General features: G+C 39.2%; 2 protein-coding genes and 1 long non-coding RNA gene across 10 annotated transcripts in view, besides 7 other annotated features; 1 reads left to right on the top strand and 2 right to left on the bottom strand.

Moving 5' to 3' along the window:
* Positions 4,022-4,542: an enhancer, noted in NCBI's record as "NANOG hESC enhancer chr2:18727890-18728410 (GRCh37/hg19 assembly coordinates)". NCBI's record gives its function as "activates a minimal SCP1, AML or CMV promoter by ChIP-STARR-seq in primed H9 embryonic stem cells {active_cell/tissue: H9 hESC(primed)}" and the evidence as "EXISTENCE:reporter gene assay evidence [ECO:0000049][PMID:30033119]".
* Positions 7,921-8,215: an enhancer, noted in NCBI's record as "tiled region #12735; K562 Activating DNase matched - State 7:EnhWF". NCBI's record gives its function as "activates a minimal TATA promoter and a strong SV40 promoter by Sharpr-MPRA in K562 cells {active_cell/tissue: K562}" and the evidence as "EXISTENCE:reporter gene assay evidence [ECO:0000049][PMID:27701403]".
* On the bottom strand, positions 12,121-18,051 carry RDH14 (retinol dehydrogenase 14). The gene is made up of 2 exons (NM_020905.4): positions 17,578-18,051; positions 12,121-13,206 (listed from the first exon to the last, which is right to left on the bottom strand). The coding sequence occupies exons 1-2, from the start codon at positions 17,968-17,970 to the stop codon at positions 12,589-12,591; spliced, it is 1,011 nt and encodes a 336-aa protein (NP_065956.1). The 5' UTR covers positions 17,971-18,051; the 3' UTR covers positions 12,121-12,588.
* NT5C1B-RDH14 (NT5C1B-RDH14 readthrough) overlaps positions 12,121-19,656 on the bottom strand; it is a 34,847-nt gene continuing 27,311 nt past the window's right edge. For both annotated transcript variants that reach the window (NM_001199103.2, NM_001199104.2), the window contains one exon: positions 12,121-13,206. In NM_001199103.2, coding sequence (NP_001186032.1) covers positions 12,589-13,206 — 618 coding nt within the window. In that variant the 3' untranslated portion in view covers positions 12,121-12,588. The remainder of the gene's footprint in view (positions 13,207-19,656) is intronic.
* Positions 17,211-17,260: an enhancer, noted in NCBI's record as "active region_15357". NCBI's record gives its function as "activates an Ori minimal core promoter by ATAC-STARR-seq in GM12878 lymphoblastoid cells {active_cell/tissue: GM12878}" and the evidence as "EXISTENCE:reporter gene assay evidence [ECO:0000049][PMID:35858748]".
* Positions 17,471-17,980: a silencer, noted in NCBI's record as "silent region_11196". NCBI's record gives its function as "represses an Ori minimal core promoter by ATAC-STARR-seq in GM12878 lymphoblastoid cells {active_cell/tissue: GM12878}" and the evidence as "EXISTENCE:reporter gene assay evidence [ECO:0000049][PMID:35858748]".
* Positions 17,574-19,656, top strand: part of LOC105373456 (uncharacterized) — a 529,181-nt gene continuing 527,098 nt past the window's right edge. For 3 of the 7 annotated variants that reach the window (XR_007086234.1, XR_001739304.3, XR_007086231.1), the window contains exon 1: positions 17,574-18,089. This is a non-coding gene — a long non-coding RNA (uncharacterized LOC105373456). Of the gene's footprint in view, positions 18,818-19,656 lie in introns of all 7 variants that reach the window. The other 4 variants (XR_427002.4, XR_007086229.1, XR_007086230.1 and 1 more) reach the window with 4 other exon arrangements.
* Positions 18,071-18,120: an enhancer, noted in NCBI's record as "active region_15358". NCBI's record gives its function as "activates an Ori minimal core promoter by ATAC-STARR-seq in GM12878 lymphoblastoid cells {active_cell/tissue: GM12878}" and the evidence as "EXISTENCE:reporter gene assay evidence [ECO:0000049][PMID:35858748]".
* Positions 18,181-18,230: an enhancer, noted in NCBI's record as "active region_15359". NCBI's record gives its function as "activates an Ori minimal core promoter by ATAC-STARR-seq in GM12878 lymphoblastoid cells {active_cell/tissue: GM12878}" and the evidence as "EXISTENCE:reporter gene assay evidence [ECO:0000049][PMID:35858748]".
* Positions 18,241-18,460: an enhancer, noted in NCBI's record as "active region_15360". NCBI's record gives its function as "activates an Ori minimal core promoter by ATAC-STARR-seq in GM12878 lymphoblastoid cells {active_cell/tissue: GM12878}" and the evidence as "EXISTENCE:reporter gene assay evidence [ECO:0000049][PMID:35858748]".

The following is a 19,656-nucleotide window of genomic DNA, read 5'->3' on the forward strand; positions in this document are numbered from 1 at the left end:
AATAATATTGCTATGTCAAGTGTGTTATTGGTTGTATAGTGGGAAAGCTATACTAAATATCTGGAGTCTTTAGTGGGTTTTCAGAGTTATGTCTAATCACTGAATTCTCAGCAGATGTTGAAGAGTTAAAACGGTTGCATTTCAAAAGAAATAGTTGCATTTACTATATGGTACTGTAATATGGTTCTTTTGATCACCATATTGTGATTTAACTCAGACATGTTCATTGTTTGTGCAATTTCTCCAAACCCCTGAAAGATGATATATATCCCTCTGGCAGGAAACCAACACTCTAGAGTGGCACTGGGTTATTTAACCACCCTGATAAATAATTTACACTTGGGGATATTATGCAGAAACCTTTTCAATTAACTTGTGTTGACAGAGAAACTAAATATAGTAGTCATTGAATTTTTTTTTAATGCATTCTTGACCTATCAGGCAGAAATAATCTTGTTTAAAATAACGTCCACTCTAGAAAATGAATATATGAAAGAGAAAAATTTTGAATAATAACCATATACGAGAGTTAAATATCTAAGATTGTTTTGATTTCAGAGGAAATTTTAACTTTTTCTAAGTACATCATTTTAGTTCACTAAAAGAAGGATCTGCTGGTTGAGTAAAAAAGCCAAAGGTTCTAAACTCTAAAGATTTTGGTCCAAATCGTGGCTGCAGATGAGTCACTTGAGTTTTCTGAAGCCTTGTTTCCTTATCTATAAATTAGGAATAAGAATAGTTTACAATGTTGTTACAAGAATTAGAGATAATATATGTAAACTATCTCAAATAAATAGTAGTTTTTATTCTGGAAAGAATTTTCCCTAATGAGTTTAATCACATGTCCTATTTTATTCTATTAACTGATGAGCCATGGTCTTAGGGATTTGCAAGAATGTGGCACTATTTTAAAAAGAAAATAAGTCTTCTTTAGTTTTTTTCCTACGTGTAAACTTATTTGAAAATTAATTAACAGCTGGAGTAAATTAATACTAAATATGGCAAAATTAATTGTGTTGGCTTTAGCAAGTCACATCTGTCAACTGAAGACAGGCTGCTTACTAAAATACACAGGCATCTGCAGAAAGAACTAGAAGATGGAGTCAATAATTTGACTGAACTATACAGAAATTTCCAGGGGAATTTGTGGCAGGATGATGATGATGATGATTATGATTGTCTGTATGCTTTCTTTGTAGACATTCTAGTTTTCCTTGTACTAATTCCCAATTACCATTGACTATCATTGTCAAAAATAATGCCACACTTACTTAACGGCATTTTCATGCTTACTGTTTTGACTGTTCAATACGAGTGTTAAAGAAGAATCCAGCATTGGCTTCACAAGCCAGAAGAGCTCTCTTTTCTTCAATAAAGATGGAACTCATTTCCTAGGGTATAGTGAGAGACCATCTACCAGGACAGCCAAATCAGCCCCATCTACCCTGACCATCAGTAATGTGGTAGACACCTGAGCTTTCAGGTCATTAATTAACTAATTAATTTGTCAACCTAATATTTTGTGAGTGATTGATATAGCCCCATTCCAGATGTTAGCAGGATGCAGAAAAGGTGCAAACAGATTCCTGCTTTCAGTGTACTCACAGTTTAGTGCTTGGCCACTCACAACTAACCTTTGAGTCCCTTCCTATCTCTACTTCTCTGACTTGTTTTGCAGCATAAACACAGGAATAAATATTCCTAAGGTAACCAAGGATTCGGTCATGAATGTCTTTCTAATCCATTCACACTACCCAAAACACTTATGCAGGATTATCCATCACGAGTCATTCTACAGTCCTAATCACATTGGCTGCTGAAGGAAGCCTCGTATTAATTACATTTTTCCTAAATGGAAAACAGCTGTGATGAATTAATCTATTCACCAGAAATCTCATATTAGGAAATGAAGTCTCATATTTCTCATATAGGAATATCTATATCCTGATATAGATTTTTCTCAACTGTCAGTGTCTCCAACTGGAAGAGGAAGAATAATATCTTCCTCTACCTTACCTGTGTCTTTGAATGTGGCTGGTTCACTTGGCCCCTTCTACTTCTCTGTCATACAGCAGAGACAAAATGTTTCCTCAGCTAGACTAGAAACATTTAAATGATAAACACATATTTTTTTAAAAAAATGTCACTCAGATGCAGTAAAGTCAGCAAAACAGAACACATAATTACAAGGCCCACTTAAAGAGACACATCCAGAGCATAAATCTCCTGCTTAAGGATGGGCCTAATGCAGATATTACTGCTAATGCCACTAAACATTCAGTCTCAGAAGTCACTTCCTGTGCTCTGATTCTAGAAGAACTAATTAAGATTCTGAGTATAAGTTGGCTTCCCAAATGGATTTTCTTTATTGGGATACATTTTGCTACCCAAAGAAAAGTTTCCTGTTCTTTTGTTGGTTTCTCATTATTGACAGATATTTTGACAAATTCAAATATCTGAGGCTACTAAGCTAAGGCTTCAACATTGTACAATTGTGATTAAAGAAATGTCATACTGATTGCCTCTCTTCCCCCAACCCACCCCCAGCCCTTCAAGTAGTAATACCGAATTTCTTTGTGCCTTCTATATATGCCATGGCTTGGTCATTTGCAAAGTGATTTTAATTACCAACTTATGTTTTTCCTTTCTGGTCAGCAATCCTGGTAGATTATATTTGTTATATGAAACAGAATCCATCCCAGATATTTTAAGGAGGAACAGAAAACATTAAAGTAGGTATGTATAAAATAATGGAAAGGCCTGGAAGAATGACATAGGTTCTAGAAATAGAAATGACTCCAAGAATACACAAGAACTGACCTGCGAGGGGAAGGTACTACTTCTGCCCAAATCTGCACCTTCAGGAAGTTGTAAGACCTAAAGACTGCCAATGGAAATAAAAGTTAAAACACATGGCATCATGTGTGTCATACTAGGATCTAAACATCAGCGAACTGGAATCAAGATACCATCATGACTGCAACCTCCTCTCAACACCCATCAGGAGGTGAGTCAACATGGAATCATTGTAGAATCGGCCCCAATTGCCTCTTGTTATCAAAGAAAACAAAACGAAACAAAATTGACTCTGTTTCTATGGCCTTTCTTGCCAGCAGAAAATAGCCAAAAACTATAGGTAAAAAGGCCTGCTCAGTTGTCCCCTCAACATCTAATTTCATGGGTATATGTTTGCTGGAAACTGGTTTTCATTCTTGATGTAGGCAATGTAGTTTGTTTTTGTTTTTAAATTGTCCAACTCATGCAAGATAAAAAAGGGCACTCTAGATGTAGGTAGGAAAGAAAACTGAATACCAATTGACCATATCCAAGATATTTCATGTTCCATTTGTCTTATGTTCCTACAAATGTAATATAAAAATTTTTGCAAGATACCCTATCTTACACATAGTCTACTCTTTGCATGCAGTCTCTTAATGCAGATGTATGTATGCATTTGAGAATACGGTTGAAACTGTGCCCTGGAGTTGGTTGTAAATTATTATACTTAGTAGCATACTACATGAGATTCTGTGTAGTACTATACCTAAGGATGCTATAGCTAATTATTAAGTATGTAATAAGTGTATCATTGAACATCCCTATGCCATATGTAGGCTGAAGAAAAAGCCAGACAAACCTCCACCGAGAAAAGAGCACACACATGTGACTTTTTACATCCCACATTTACTTTAATGAAATATGGACGCCCTAATCTGCTGTTTCTTTCCTTTCTACTATGCTACAATACTTTTCTTAATTAAGAATAATCATTTTTTTTGGTAGCTTCAGTTATTTCTTTCAAAATATCCAAATACAGTTATCTTCCTCTTTTCCAGTTCATAAAGAGAACATGCAAAATATGTGTTCAGTGAAGAATGAAAAATATATATCCAAGCCTTCTCCAAAAAGGCCTCAGTGACTTTTGCAACATCCTCAACTTCATTTATCTATAGGATGGCTTTTGATAGCTTTATGTAAGCTTTTTAAAGTTCAGCCAAGCCAGCTGCATGATCAACACAAAGACAATAGCTCCCACACACAGGGTTACATGGATTAAAGAACCCGATCCATCAGTAAACCTGCCAGATGGCAGTGGAAGAAAGCTTGTAACTCTCTCACTTTCATTTCAACAGCAGCAAACAATGTTCAATGTTTAAAATAAACTCTTCCAGATGAGCTAAAGATAAACTCTGAGGTGGGTGGACTTGATCTTGTTAGGCTGCAGCTCTGAAGTGTTTGATTACATTAACACAAAACCCCTGGGTAGAACCCACTTCTGTCAACAGAATGCCTAGACTCAAACACCTACTACACAAAGCCATTTCCTGTGCTTTCATGGGTTGGTGGCAGAAACTCGCTCTGCTTTTTTCACAAACTAATAATAATTATATATTTTTCTGTGCTCAACATTTCCTCAAACCATGTGGATAACTTCAAGATGTAACTAAAATGCCAACATATATGTATGCCTGCACAGATAAAATGTTTTGAATCTGTTTACAACTTAAAATTCTACTATTTATTCACCTTACTACTCTCATAGTAGCAAAAATGGGGGCTATTAGGAAGATTTAGAACCAATTTCATTCTGTCAAAAGCTGGAGAACTATCTACATCTGTGGGTTATACCAAAAAGAAAAAAGAGGAAGGTACAAGTGCTTAAGTTCAACATTATAAAGGAAGGTAGAAACTTTTTTGTTTTTAATAGACTCTAAAACCCCCAACTTAGGACAAACCAGCCTGGAATAGTTCATATGTAACATGGCAACTTCCAAATATAAAATGACATACGAAAAATAACTTTATTATAAACATTCAGAAACATATTTATCACAATTAATAGGAGATTTTAAAATGAGAGAGAGAGAAACAAATCTGATGATGAAACTAAATTTTAAGAACTGGCTACAAAAACACTTTAGGACCAAATATATCAAGTTATCAATTCAATATACTGGTGCATTTTAAAAAATAAAACTATTCCCAAATTTAGATTAGAACTCCTTGGAAAAACATGCTTCACGACACAGAACACATTTATTTCTATCCCTCCAAACGAAAACTCTTCTGATATGAAGTGATACCTCTGCTGTACAATAGAAGCATTCTTATTTTGAATTGGTTGGTTACATTTAAAAAGTTGATTAAAGCAGAAAATAAAAAAGATGAATTATATGTACCACAAAATGTTTGAACTTAAAACATATAACATGTTCATTTCTTTGTCTATCTTCTAATATAAGGCTACGGGTTCAACTGGTATCTTCGTTGTTTTCCTTTTTGAGCATGGACTCACTTGGAATTTCATTTTCTTACATTGTTCAAGAATACCTTGTTTTATCATGCTTCACTTGACTGTGCTTTGCAGGTACTGCATTTTTTTTTTTTTTTTAACAAACTGAAGGTTTCTAGCATCCCTGCATGGAGCAAATCCATTGGTGACATTTTTTCAATGGTTTGTGCACACTTCATGTCTCTGTCATATTTTGGTAATGCTTAGCAATATTTCAAACTTTATGGCTGGGTGCAGTGGCTCACGCCTGTAATCCCAGCACTTTGGGAGGCTGAGGTGGGTGGATCATGAGGTCAGGAGATCAAGACCATCCTGGCTAACACGGTGAAACCCCGTCTCTACTAAAAATATAAAAAATTAGCCAGGCGTCGTGGTGGGCGCCTGTAGTTCCAGCTACTCGTGAGGCTGAGGCAGGAGAATGGCGTGAGCCCAGGAGGCAGAGCTTGCAGTGAGCTGAGATAGTGCCACTGCACTCCAGCCTGGGCGACAGAGCAAGACTCCGTCTCAAAAAAAAAATGTATTTCAAACTTTATTATTTTATCTGTAATAGTGATTTGTAATCAGTAATCTTTGATGTTATCCTAGTAATTGTTCTGGGGCACTAGAAGCCCCACCCATATAAGATGGCAAATGTAATTGATAAATGTTGTGTGTGTTCTGACTGCTCCGGTCATTCCCACATCTCTTTCCCTCTCCTTGGGCCTCCCCATTGCCTGAGACACAACAATATTGAAATTAAGTCAATTAATAATCCTACAATGGCTACTAAGCATTCAAGTGAAAGAAAGAGTCTCACATCTCTCAATTTAAATCAAAAACTAGGAACTATTAAGCTTAGTGAGGAAGGCATGTTGAAAGCCAAGAAAGGCCAAAAGCGAGGCCTCTCCTGCCAAACAGTTGGCCAAGTTATGAACACAAAGAAAAGTTCTTGAAAGAAATTAAACATGCAATTCCAGGAAACACATGAATGATAAGCAAGTGAAACAGCCTCATATTGCTGATATGGAGAAAGTTTTAGTGGGCTGTCTAAAGTGATCTTCTAAGATCAAACCAGCCACAACATTCCCTAAAGCCAAAACCTAATTCAGAGCAAGGCCCTAACTCAACTCTATCTGGGTTGAGAGAGGTGAGAAAGCTGCAGAAGAAAAGTTTGAAGCTAGCAGAGGTTGGTTCATGAGGTTTAGGGAAAGAAGCCATCTCTGCAACATTAAAGTGCAAGGTGAAGCAGCAAGTGCTAATGCAGAAGCTACAGCAAGTTATCCAGAAGAGCTAGCTAAGAACATTGATGAAGGTGGCCACACTAAGTGATATGGTTTGACTGTGCCCCACTCAAATCTCATCTTGAATTGTAGCTTCCACAATTCCCATGTGTTGTGGGAGGGACCCGTGGGAGGTAATTGAATCATGTGGATGGGTCTTTCCTGTGCTGTTCTCATGGTAGTGAATAAGTCTCAAGAGATCTGGTGGGTTTATAAGGGGAAACCTCTTTTGCTTGTCTCTCATTTTCTCTCTTCCCTGCAGCCATGTAAGATATGCCTTTCACCTTCTGCTATGATTGTTAGGCCTCCCCAGCCACGTGGAACTGTGAGTCCATTAAACTTCTTTTTCTTTATAAATTGCCCAGCCTTGGGTACGTCTTTATCAGCAGCATGAAAATGGACTAATACACTAAGCAACGGATTTTTAATGCAGACAAAATAGCTTTCCATTGGAAGAAGATGCGATCTGAGGCTTTTATAGCTAGAGAGAAGTCAATGCATGGAAACAAAGCTTCAAAGGACAGTCTGACTCTCTTGTTTGGGGCTAATGCAGCTGGTGACTTTAAGTTGAAGTCAATGCACATTTACCATACTAAAAATTCTAGGGCCTGTAAGAATTATGTTTAATCTACTCTGCCTATGTGCTATAAGGGGAACAACAAGGTCTGGATGACAGCACATCTGTTTACAGCATGGTTTACTGAAATTTTAAGTCCACTGTTAAGACCTATTGCTTAGAAAAGATGCCTTTCAAAATATTACTGCTCATTGACAATGCACATAGTCACCCAAGAACTCTGATGGAGATGTATAAAACGATTAATGTTTTCATGTCTGCTGATACATCTAGTCTGCAGCCCATGGATTAAGGAGTAATTTTGACTTTAAAGTCTTATTATTTAAGAAATAACATTTCCTAGGGCTAAAGCTGCCACAGTTATTCCTCCGATGGATCTGGGCAAAATAAATTGACAATCTTCTGCGAAAGTATTAACCATTCTAGATGCCATTAAGAACATTCATAATTCAAAGGAGAAGGTCAAAATATCAACATTAACAGAAATTTGAAAAAATCTGAGTCCAACCCTCATGGATGACTTTGAGGGTTCAAACCTTCTTTGGAGGAAGTAAACACAGATGAGGTAAAAATCACAAGATAATTGGAAGTGGAGCCTAAAGATGTGAGTGAACTGCTGCAATCTCATGATAAAACTTAAAGACATAAGGAATTGTTTCTTAGGGATGAACAAAGAAAGTGGGTTTCTGGAGATGGACTCTACTCCTGGTGAAGAGGTTGTGAACATTTCTGAAATGAAAGCAAAGGATTTGGAATATTACATAAACTTAGTTGAGAAGGCAGCAATAGGGTTTGATAGGATTGACTTCAATTTTGAAGGAAGTTCTACTGTGGGTAAATACCACCACATGCTACAGATAAATATTTCATGGAAGGAACAGTCTTATCAATTTGGCAACCTGCATTGTTGTTGTATTTTCAGACATTGCTCCAGCCAACCCAGCCTTCAGCAACCACCACCCTGAAGTCAGCAGCCATCGAGGTGAGACCCTCCACCAGAAAAAATATAATGACTCACTGATGGCTCAGATAATTGTTAGAGGTTTTTGAGCAAAAAACGTATTTTTAAATTAAGGTATGTACATTGTTTTTTAGACATAATGGTCTTATACACCTAATAGACAACAGTATAGTATAAACATAACTTTTACACGCATGGAGAAACAAAAAAGTTTGTGTAACTCACTTTAATATTTGCTTTATTGTGGTGATCTGGAACAAAATCAGAAGTATCTCTGTGGTATTCCTGTATTCACTTAAATAGTAGAGTCGGATTTCTAGCTTTTTTGCCCTTAAAATGGACTCAAAGTTTAAAGTTACTTGCAAAGCACTAACTACAGACTCCTTTTATAATTTTGTATTTATTTTTAGTATTTGATAGTTGCTTTGAAACTTTAGTCAACAGTAAATTTTTAGTGACTTGCTTTCATTTAGTTTTTACAAAACTACTTTTCTACTTTTCATATAAATTCTTTGTACTCACATTTCATTGACTTGCAGTATGATTAATAATTTGTAATGTGATTATTAACCAGCACAGTTGACATATGCATGCACAAATTGGGTTGGGTTTTCTTTGTTGCCTCCTGCATGCCCAGAACTAGAATAATGCCCGGTTACATAATAGGTACTCAATAAATATTTGCTAAGTGAATAACAAATGGTACACAACTCACTCTTAAGTATATAATAGAACAAGAGGAAGCAGAAGGGCTGTTGTGTGCTAGAAGAAAGCCTATCAGCCTAGAGTTTCACATGCTATGTGCATTAGTTTTTTTTTTTTTTTTTAGAAAAAAAGAATGGAGAATCAGTTATTACAGCAAATCTCTTAGATGGTAGTTGCTTAAAAGTGCTTCCACTGCACTTTGATTACACATCTGGCTTAGCAAAAGCTTTTCCTTACTGTCTGCATAAAACTAAGCATTCCGTCTTAGTTTCCTCTAGGAATAAACTACCTTTCTCCATGTTAGCCTGTAACTAATTTAACTCCCCATCGCCCAGAGAAGGCTTGTGGAACATCTGAACCTGTCTGTGGGGGCCAAGCTCCTGAAGGGTGATTAGTAACATGTTCTCTCTTCAGTGTTCCATAGGACATTTGGAATCAATTAAATATTCAAATACAGAGTCCCTCAGATCTCTGGCCAGGCCCAGCAAGTTTGTCAGGGGGAGGGAGTTGAAGGCAGATAACTGCTCTTCCTCACACCAGAATCTATAGCTGGAGACAGACTTTTAAAATATACCCTTTAGGCTTCCTGGTCTGCAAGCAAATAGTTGTCCACAACATTAGAAATAATATGGAAAAACAACAGCAGCCTTATAGAGTAATAGGAGTCACAGCATATACGACAACTACTCTCAAACAAGGTGTCTTAAAGGTAAACAAGTAAGTGAGTACATTGGGCCTGGAAGACTGTACCAGTCATTTAAGTACAATAGTATGGTATGTACTGGCTACAAATGGTCTTTACATTTTTGAAAGATTATAAAAAGAAATCTGGCCTTTTAGATGAAGTTTGCTGCCCCTTGGTTTAGAGTTTTGTTTCCATGATATGTACTTGCCTAACCATTAGCATCGCTAATTACTATTACTGCTAATGGATAGTAATGATTATGTGCATTGTGGAAGGAGAAATGGATGTGTGCCTGTATGTGCCAGACACTTTGCTAAACATTTTACCTAGTCTGTCTCTTTCATTCACTGAGTAATCCTTTAAAGTAGACACTTATATTTCAATATAGAGCCAAAAAAAATAATAGCTCGGAAAGGTTAAGTAACTTGCCAAGGTTACAGGAAGCATTACACAGTAGAGCTGTTAGTCAAACCCAATGTGGTGGTGTGTTTAAGCTGTGAAGCCCCTTGTCCAATTAAATCCTACTTAGAACCCCACTATATAAAATAGTTACTCTGAGCAAAGTTGAAACAGAAGGCCAGCAACCTCAACCCTTCTCAGAATAAGCTGCTTGAAACACGAGTCAATTTTTCAAAAAAAATGAAGCTGAGAACCAGCATGGAAAATGGGCTTTCAACTCATTTCTTCCATGATCTGGCACATTACAGTTTCCCCTCTGATATACTGCTGAGGGTGAGAACAATACCAAAATAACAGGACTGCCTTTTACTTATTTCTTTGCCCAGTAAAATGGATTAAAGTGAGTCAGCAAAAGGGAGAAAGAAGGAGGGGAAGTTAAGGACTTCTTCAAAATCTACCTCATCATTTTGGAGCTCTTAGTCCTCAATTCCATCAAACACAGTGGTGCGAAGGACATCTTCCAAATGGCAGCTCATTTTACCTTAATAGTTGGTGTTTCCAGGTAAGTTTCTAGCTTTCTATCATGATAAGTTAATATATCCTATTTTATTATGGTGCCACAAACAAAAGAACTCTGAAAGGCTCAACTCTTACAAAAGGTCCAAATCCCCTGAAAAGCATCAAGTATCAAAATGCAGCCAGAAAAGATGGTATTAAATGAAAAAAAGGGGCTCCCTTTTAATGAAGTCGAGGTGTAGGACAGATTTATTAGCTTCCATTTTTCCAAGTTGCATTCTGGTGTATTTCCTGCCTATATTTCTAAGTTCAGCAGGTCTCTTTGTAGGATTACTTTTTAAAAATACAATGTTTCAAAGAATATGATGCAGCTATATCCACTACACCTGCAGAGACACACCTGTGATGATACACTGTTTCTCCAATTCACAAGGCAATGCTCTAACAGAAAACAGACCTTCTGCATGATATGCCAAGATCCTGCCATTCTTGAAAATAACCGATACTCATAAGCTGATATTATAAATGGTCTTAAAAATAATAACCAAGAATTATCCCTGGGCTAAATAGTCATTAAATTCAGTGTAACTGTCTATACTTTAGTGTTATAATTCCTTTTTCCGATATGAGATAGTGAAACAAATAATTAAAATTAAGTAGATACTTTTGATGTTGTAACACAGATGCCTGCAATATTCCTATTTGGGCTCAATTATTCTTATGCATACCATTATTTACTGATTTTTTACTGTGTGCTGGGCACTATACTTGATTCTTGATGGAGGAAAGCTAATAATAAAATAAATCTCCTTTCCTTAGAGAATTTCTATTCTGATTATCTGACTGAACCTGTGAATGAATAATTAGTGCACTAAACTCCTAGTAAAAGTACCAAGATCAAGGGGGAAAAAAAAAGTAGGAAGAGAGAATTGTCTCTGCCTACGGGGGCTGGAGAAAGGAACACATTTGAAAGGAACCTGAAGGGTAAGTCGTATTTCCAAGGAAAAAGGAGATGGCATTCCAGACTGAAAGAACAATATAAAGAAAGGCCCAAAGCAAGTGAGTAGGTGACTGTTCTAAAATCAGGACTGGATTATCTGATGGGATGACCAGAGATGTACTGTCCAAGATACCAGTTGCTAGACATGTGCCTATTTAAATTAACATTACATATAATTAGAAATTCAGTTCTCAGTTGAATTTGAAGTACTTAATAATCCCATGTTTCTAGAGTCCATCACATCAGACAACACAGAGTATTCCTTTCCTCACTGCAAAGTTCTACTGAACAGTGCTGAGTATGAGAGTATAGGGTAAGCATGGTGCTGTCTCATGGAGCCTCAACTCTATCTTCAACAGTTTAATCTTTAGTCTAAATAAAAGTGGTTTATAAACCACTATATTCTATGAAATCCCTTTAGGAATTGCCGTGGGGGACTCCACCTTGGCAGCATTGCGATAACCTGCTTTACCCCCTCCAGCTTCTACGTTTCAGTGAAACACCGCTTTTGAAGAAAGAATTCTGCCAAATTTTTTTTTTTTTAAGGCTCAAAACCCACTGTTTTTTAAGCAGGAATGTGATAGATTTGGGTTTTAGGAATATTATCTCTCAGAGCAGTGTACAAGATACGTGGCAAGAAGAGACTGGGCAGACCAAGATCAGCATAGGCTAATGGTGACATGATAAAGGACTGTATTCAGTGAAGCCTCCAAAGAAATGCACAGTTAAGAATTTGTACCAGTAAATTTATTCCAAGTAAGACTTGTGTGCACACACCAGGCAGATAATTTCCACACAAACACCAAACATTGTAGTAAAACTAGTTAACACTTTGGCCATGAAACTCAAAGATACTTGAAAAACCTCTCGATAGCACTTTGAGTCACTTAATTCTGACAAATATTAATATGTCATCCATGCTTGCCCAGTTATAATTTTACAATATAATTGTATTTTTCATTGTACTTATTATTCATTATACTTACTATATATATTTAAAACATCTTTGCTGAAATTCTCTTATCCCAAAAATAATTTTTCAGTAACTCCAAAATACCCACATGTACCTCTTAGCAGGCTATTCCAATATCAAAATTCTTTTTCTTCAAGTAACAAGTTCTCAATCCACACCATTCCTGATCACAGATATAACTGATATGCAGTTTTATAAACAGCTCTTTTACTCCTTGTTCCTATTTTAGCAGGCCAACCATCACTTCACTGATATCCCAGAGTTTTCTTGCAACAGATTCATCCATAGCTTTGGGCAACAGTTCTTCCTCTTTACAATCCCCAAAGTATCTTCCTGACACTCCTTCTACCTCAGGTGAAGAGGCCAAATAAATGGAAGTCTGGGCACCTTCTACTGGAGTTTTGAAAAAAGCCCATGACACCAAATTGAAGAGTGGTTTGACCAACAGTGGAATGTGTATGTGCCTCCCCAGATTTGTCCGTACAATACCAGGATGCAACACATTGACGGTGACATTTGTGCCTTCTAAGCGGCGGGCTAGTTCCCTGGTAAAAAGAATGTTAGCCAGTTTGCTCCGGCTATAACAAAAGCTTTTATTATAGCTTTGTTCACTGTTCAAGTCATCAAAATTGATGTCTCCGTATTTATAAAGTTTGGAAGAAACTACCACAATCCTGCTGGGAGCTGAACTTTTGAGGAGTCCAAGGAGAAGATTGGTGAGTAGAAAGTGCCCCAGATGGTTCACTCCGAACTGCATCTCAAACCCATCTTCAGTCTTCATGTAAGGGCACTGGAAGATCCCTGCGTTATTGATCAAGACATCCAGCCTAGGCTCTTCCTTTAAATGTCAAAAAGAGAATGGCAGAATTATTAAGAACACACGCCTTGTATTGCTTTTTCTGTTCATGATAATTACATTTTAATAAAAATGGGCACTTGAGACTAAAAGCATTTAATTTCAGTTGTTGGTCTATCGATCAGAGAACTACTTGAAACACTGGCAATTTTGTGTTTAATAAATGGGGAAAGGGATTCCTCCGCAGGATGTTCCTCAGATAAATACTGATGTTCATGATCTTTCATTCAACAGCTCTTTTTTCTCATTTATTAAAATGATATACAGAAAGATATTTATCTACAGTCATCTTCCAATAAAAGATGTAGAAACTAAATCTAAGACTTAATTTCTGGTTTTATGCTTTTATAACAATAACATTTACAAATATATAAACTTTAACATTGCATTAGAAAGTTGACTACGTGATCAGTACCAAGATCTTTCTCAAAACAGAAATACAGTCAATTTGAGGACAAGGCACTCCTACAATCCCATATTTCTCCCTTTAATTTCAGTTGAACTAGGAAAATATCAATTTGGGAGTTATCAGGTTAATACTGAGATCATATCAAAATTATAAGTGTACCTATGATAAAATGTTTAAAAATACTTGCAAACTACTAAAATTCTATCCCAAAATGCTTCTATGAGCTTCCAATAATTGAGAGAAAAATAGAAAAAAAAATAGATGCAGAAGCTTGATAGGAGCCAGGCTTTGTGCTTTTCGCATGTCACCACATCTAATTCCAACAACTGTATAAGCAAATGAAGCTCACAGGCTAGGTGACTTGCCCAGTATCAGAACTCCTAAGTAGCAAAATAAGATCAGATCTGAAGATGAAGTCTTTGACACCAAGGCCTATTTTCTTAATTAGTAAGCTGGCATGGCTTTCTAATTGGGATTTTCAAAACAGCTAGAGAGGCAATGAAAGCTAGACAGACCATATGCTGTAGAAAACAGGTAAGCATAGTTTATTCCCAGAGCTACTGGTTATCAACACCAAGGGCAAACTTATGGTTGCTTTATTCTGTAGTTCTCTCAGGGTAAATGGCACCATGGGGGTGGAACAACTTCAAGTCATTTCCTTAAAAGTGAAACAAGCAATAGAAAAGGTCAGAAATGCAAACTTAACACTGGAGAGAACATCATGAATAAATCGAGATTCATAAAGAATAATCAAAGATTAAGAAAAAAATAATCAGGTAATATAAAAATATCCAGCGTAAAGGGGACTCTAGGAGATCTGTACAGTCAACATTTTATACTCTGAACTTATGCTTCTGTATCTTTCCAAATTAAAGTCCTAAAATTTAGACTGTTCTCATAGGGAAGTCTTTTTATTCCTTAAATCATGTAAGATGGTCTTCTCTAGCCTTTTCTCGGTTGTTCTGTTTCTTTTGATGGACAAAGAAATGCACATGTTCCAAGTGTAAAGACACTGTGATGACCCATGATTAATATGAGGTCAACTTTCAAATTTCACTGGCCCTTCTGCCAACTATAAGTGAAAAGAAAAATGTGTTACATTTCACAACTGTTATCGAAGCCCACCTGTCAGAGGATTAACTATTTCTCATTCTGCCCTGTCTAAGCATCTTTGGGTTTTCCAATAGTCAACTTCAAAAAGAAGGCAAGAGTTCACTCATGGGGGAAAGAAAGGAGTATTCTTTTTCACAAATCCTTTGGAAGATTTTCCTGAATTAATCATTTGTTATCCAGCATTCTTTGCTGGGCTTGTGTTATTTTAAAATTTTGTCATTTACTATTTTTTTAAATTCTACGAGATAAATGAAATAAATACCAAGAATACCAACCTGTGGGAAATCTACATTTCCATTTTTTTTTCCTTCTAATTATAGTCACTTAACTTCAGAGCCAGGCAGGAACAGAAATACTTACTTAGAAGCAAGGACAACTTAATTATCTCTTTGTGTCCTCACTTTTTAATTAGTTCTGCCTCAAGTGCCAAAGAAGCAAACCCAGCCCCATCTATATTTTAAAGAGGAACAGAAAGATCCATCTTTAATGCTTCCAAAATCTCACTGATGAGTATTATTTCTTAACCTGTGTTACACATAATTAAATACTAGCAATAAACAAAAAACCAACTCTCTAGTTCTGCAACAGCTCCCGAACTGTGGCCTACAGCATTGCAGCAAACTCTCAGGGTGTTGTGGAATATTTTAAATTTTCGAGGGAAACACAGTGATATTTGCTCAATACCTCAAAACTACTAGCTCCAGGTGGTTCACAGCTTGAACATTACATTGTGCTATATTCCTTTCAATGACATTATTTCTTTGTGGAGCTGACTTTTAAGCAGCTGTTAGCAGTTGCTGTAATAAAAAACAAGAACAATGCTAAAAATCTACCTAGAACAGGAAATGAGGGTGGAAGTGTCCAATCTGATTCCAAGGTTTCAGACACTGGTGTAATGACCAACAGAGATACATTTCCCATTAGTAGTTATGGCTGTTTAAGAACAAAATAAACATATTATTTTTTTCTTTCAATTATGTTATCTTCTCAAATAGCTACTAAGTTGTTAGGACATAACTACTTATTAGGTTGTGTCAAAGGAAAATAAATCTCAGAACCCAAAATCACTAAGTCAAAGGTTAAAGTCAAGCTGGGAACTGCCTCAGACAAACCTGCCTCCCATTTTATTCCTAAATAAGATAGCTACAAAGAAAAAGAAGCTACATATCACCCTCATAATTTGCCCACATGGGCCTCAAGATCTTTACCCTAAAACACTTCTGTTGAATTTCACCCTGGCAATGTATTCATAAATTGATAGCTCATCTTCACAAGTGCCAAACAAAAGACAGAACTCTAAAGTCATCCTTCTGCTCACCTGAGATAAATGCTTATCTGATTGCTGACTCTGCCGTATTGTTTATGTGAAAATGCAGACTCACTGAGCCAGTCTAAGACATAAGTGATTATTCCTCTATCCCTCCTGCACATGTAAATTGTATTCAGTAAAAGGCTAATCAAAGACCCAAAAGAATGCAACCTTTTGTCTCCCATCTACCTATGACCTGGAAGCCCCCACTTCGAGTTGTCCCACTTTTCCAGGAGAACCAATGTATACCTTACATATGTGATTGATGTCTCATGTCTCCCTAAAATGTATAAAACCAAGCTGTGCCCCGACCACCTTGGGCACATGTCCTCAGGACCGCCTGAGGTTCTGCCACGGGTGCATCCTTAACCTTGGCAAAATAAACTTTCTAAATAAATGAACTGGGAAATATTTCTGGCCTAAGGGCATCATGAAAAAATTACTGAGAAAATTTGGGAACCTCTTCTCTAGACTCAAGAGACTCTACGTCATATAGGCACCTTTCTTGTCCCAGCTAATTTTAAATTTCACTCTTCTGAACAAATGCCCTCTGAATGCCAGTTATCCCTGCAAGAAACTCTTCTACCTCAATCTCAACGGAGAACATCCACTTATGTGGAATTACTTACCATTTGCACAAAGAAATCCTCACACCTCACTGCCAGGCAGCAGGAGGAAAGAACAAGGGTTAAAAGCAAGTGTTCTGGAGACAGACCACAAGCAAGTTTCTTAGCCTTCCTATGCCTCAGTTTCCTCGCGTTGTAAAACAGGGATGATAATAATGCCTACTCCACAGGGTTACTGTGTAGCTTCAATGACAGTTATAGGCAAGGACACTTCATTTTCATTTAAGACAAAAAGGAAAATCTGAAATGCTTGGCACAGCTCCTGGCATACAGATCTTCAATAATGCTGGGTGTTATTTTTATTCCTGTCTCTGTATGGAGCATGACCACTGGGTTCCAAAATGTATTCTACTTGGAAATCAGGCCACAGTCCCGTTAAGGATGGTGCTGAGTTTACTGGTGGCAGCGAGCTCCTTACCCCAGCAGAAAAGGGGCAGAGGCCGGGGGAAGGAGAACTTTTTTTAAAGGACTGATATGAGGTCCTTAGCTAGCAACTTCCCCCAGTGCTCAGGGGTTCTGAAGACACAGCTTGGTGCAAATTCACTTCTGACACAGGAAAAACAATTCAGAGGCCATGGATCTACTTCGGGGCGGTCCTCACGTAACGAAATGAAACGTTCAGAAACTGGTTTATTTATTTTTCTCTTGGGCCCATTTCTTTTTCGACATCCTTAGAGGACAGAAGGCAGCCCTCCCAGTTAGTTTCTCTTTCCCTCTCAACCCTGCAGCTTCCCGGCCGCCTCAAAGTGGCTTTTTGGACTCCTCTCAGCCTCAGCGGTTCCCAAGGTGACACCCTGAACCCCAGGGCGGTCCCTCGCGGCTCAGCCCCAGCCCGCAGTCCCCTCCCACACCGTGCCCAGGCCCTCCCCACCAGCCCGGCCCCCCGAGGCCCACACCTGGAGCATTTCCTGGCAGAAGGCGCGCACCGAGCGCAGCGAGGCGAGGTCCAGCTCCCGGACTATGAGCTCGCCCACCCCGCTGACGCCAGGCTCTGGGCCGCACTCCGCGGCCTGGCGGAGCTCGCGGCGGAGCTGACCCGCCGCCTCCTCGGCGCGCGCGCGGTCCCGGCAGCCCATGATCACCCGCGCTCCCAGGCGCAGTAGCTCGGCGGCCGTGGCGCGGCCCAGGCCGCTGTTCGCCCCGGTGATCAGCACAGTCTTCCCGTGCATGAGGCCGGGGTCCCCGCCTCTGCGCAGCCGCTGGACCCTGGGCCCCACGAACCGGCGGGCCGCCAGCCACAGCGCCCCGCCCAGAGCGGCCAGTACTGCCGCCGCAGTGGCCACTGCCATCGTCAGGCCCGAGGGCCCACCGGCCCCTCCACGGGAGTTCCGCAGCCGCCGCCTTACCGGAACCCAAGAGACCACCTGTACGCGGAGAACGCTGGGGCGCGGCGGGTCGGCCCCTGACGGTGCGCGTGGGGCATGCTGGGACTTGTAGTTTCCCTCTGGGGGGGTCGCCTGATTGGTTGTGAGAGTTCAGCGCCCTGGGTCCTGCGCCCTCCGTGGAAGCTCCTCCCAGCCTAATGATGGAGGCTGGGCAACCAGCACAGTGTTCAGGGTGCTGGGGTTCATACGTATTGAAATCCCAGAGTAGTGGCGGACTTCCCCATGGGAATGTCTGATGAGTACTTTGAATCACAGATCTCTGTACAGGCCCTGTTACAAATGCCACTCCTCAGGGCATTTCGTGTGTTTTCCTTTGAGGGCTCTTGGGACTTGTAAATTCAGTTCAATTCACCTTCTGAGGAATGGGCCCTGACAAGCTGAAGTCTGAGGTAGGACTGTTTTTCATAGATGAGACAAAGAATTAAGCAACATGAATCAGTTGGAAATAGAATGGTCGAGTAGTTCTCAAACTTAAATGCACATCAGAATCACCTGGAGGACTTGGGGTGGGGGTTCGGGGTGGGGGAATGAAACAAAACGAAAACAAAAAACCAGGGCCCCAGTATTAGAGTTTCTAATTCAATAGGTACAGGATGGGGCCTGATAATTTGCACTTTTAACAAGTTTCCAGGTGCTGCTGCTGCTGCAGATCTGGGAACCACACTTTGAGAACCACTGAACAAGACATTATGTCATTGGTCCCTATTAAAAAAAAGAAAGCCATCTTCAAATGATCTTCACACTGGCAGAGGTACAGTGGGAAAAGCTTGGACTTATTGTAAATATAGGCTTCTGAGCAGGCCATTTACAAATGCCTCCCTGCCCTCTCCATAGGACTATTACACACAACGATGGAAGGCAAAGTGCTTGGCTCACTGTAAAATGCCTCATTAATATCAGGGTTAGTGTCACAGGGACCCTTCTTCAAGCTACAAACTTCATAGCTGTAGACCAAGCTACTTTTAAAGACTCATTCGTTCGTCTGCCTCTCCATCCAATATGTGCCTGGCCCTGCCTGTTCCCTGTTAGAGCCACAGAGAAATGGGACACCATTTCTGCTCTCAGGGTGCTTACTTTCTGGAACTGTGATCTCCCACTTCCCACCCTCCACCCATTGCAGGTTCTCCAGACAAGGAAAAAGAACCACAGCTTGTGTCGTTTGAGACAAACTCCCCAATAATTGTGATAATCCATCTTCCACTCCCTTACATTTGGGAAGGATGTAACATGCAACTAATAGTCAGAATACAAAGAAAAAGGGATGGATTCCAGGAGGTTTCTTATGAGTAATGAGAATGGAGCTCAGAGGTGGGAAAGAGCACTCTTACTGGGGATTATACAAGGCACCAGGAACAGGAATCATGAGAGGTGGTCCTACACCACCCTATCCCCAATTTGAAGCTGCTACTCAAACTCATTGATCCCCCAGCATATGTTTCCACTTTATTGTCCTTTCTACCCATCCACATCTTGCCCATCCATCAAAATCACAGGCTACCTCAAGTCTTTCTTTCCTGACCACTTCCAGCCTATAAAGATCTCTGCTCCCTTCATGTGTGACCCTCAGGGTCATGTGTGACCCTCACTGGC

Source organism: Homo sapiens, chromosome 2 (assembly GCF_000001405.40).
Source record: "Homo sapiens chromosome 2, GRCh38.p14 Primary Assembly".
Classification (NCBI taxonomy): domain Eukaryota; kingdom Metazoa; phylum Chordata; class Mammalia; order Primates; family Hominidae; genus Homo; species Homo sapiens.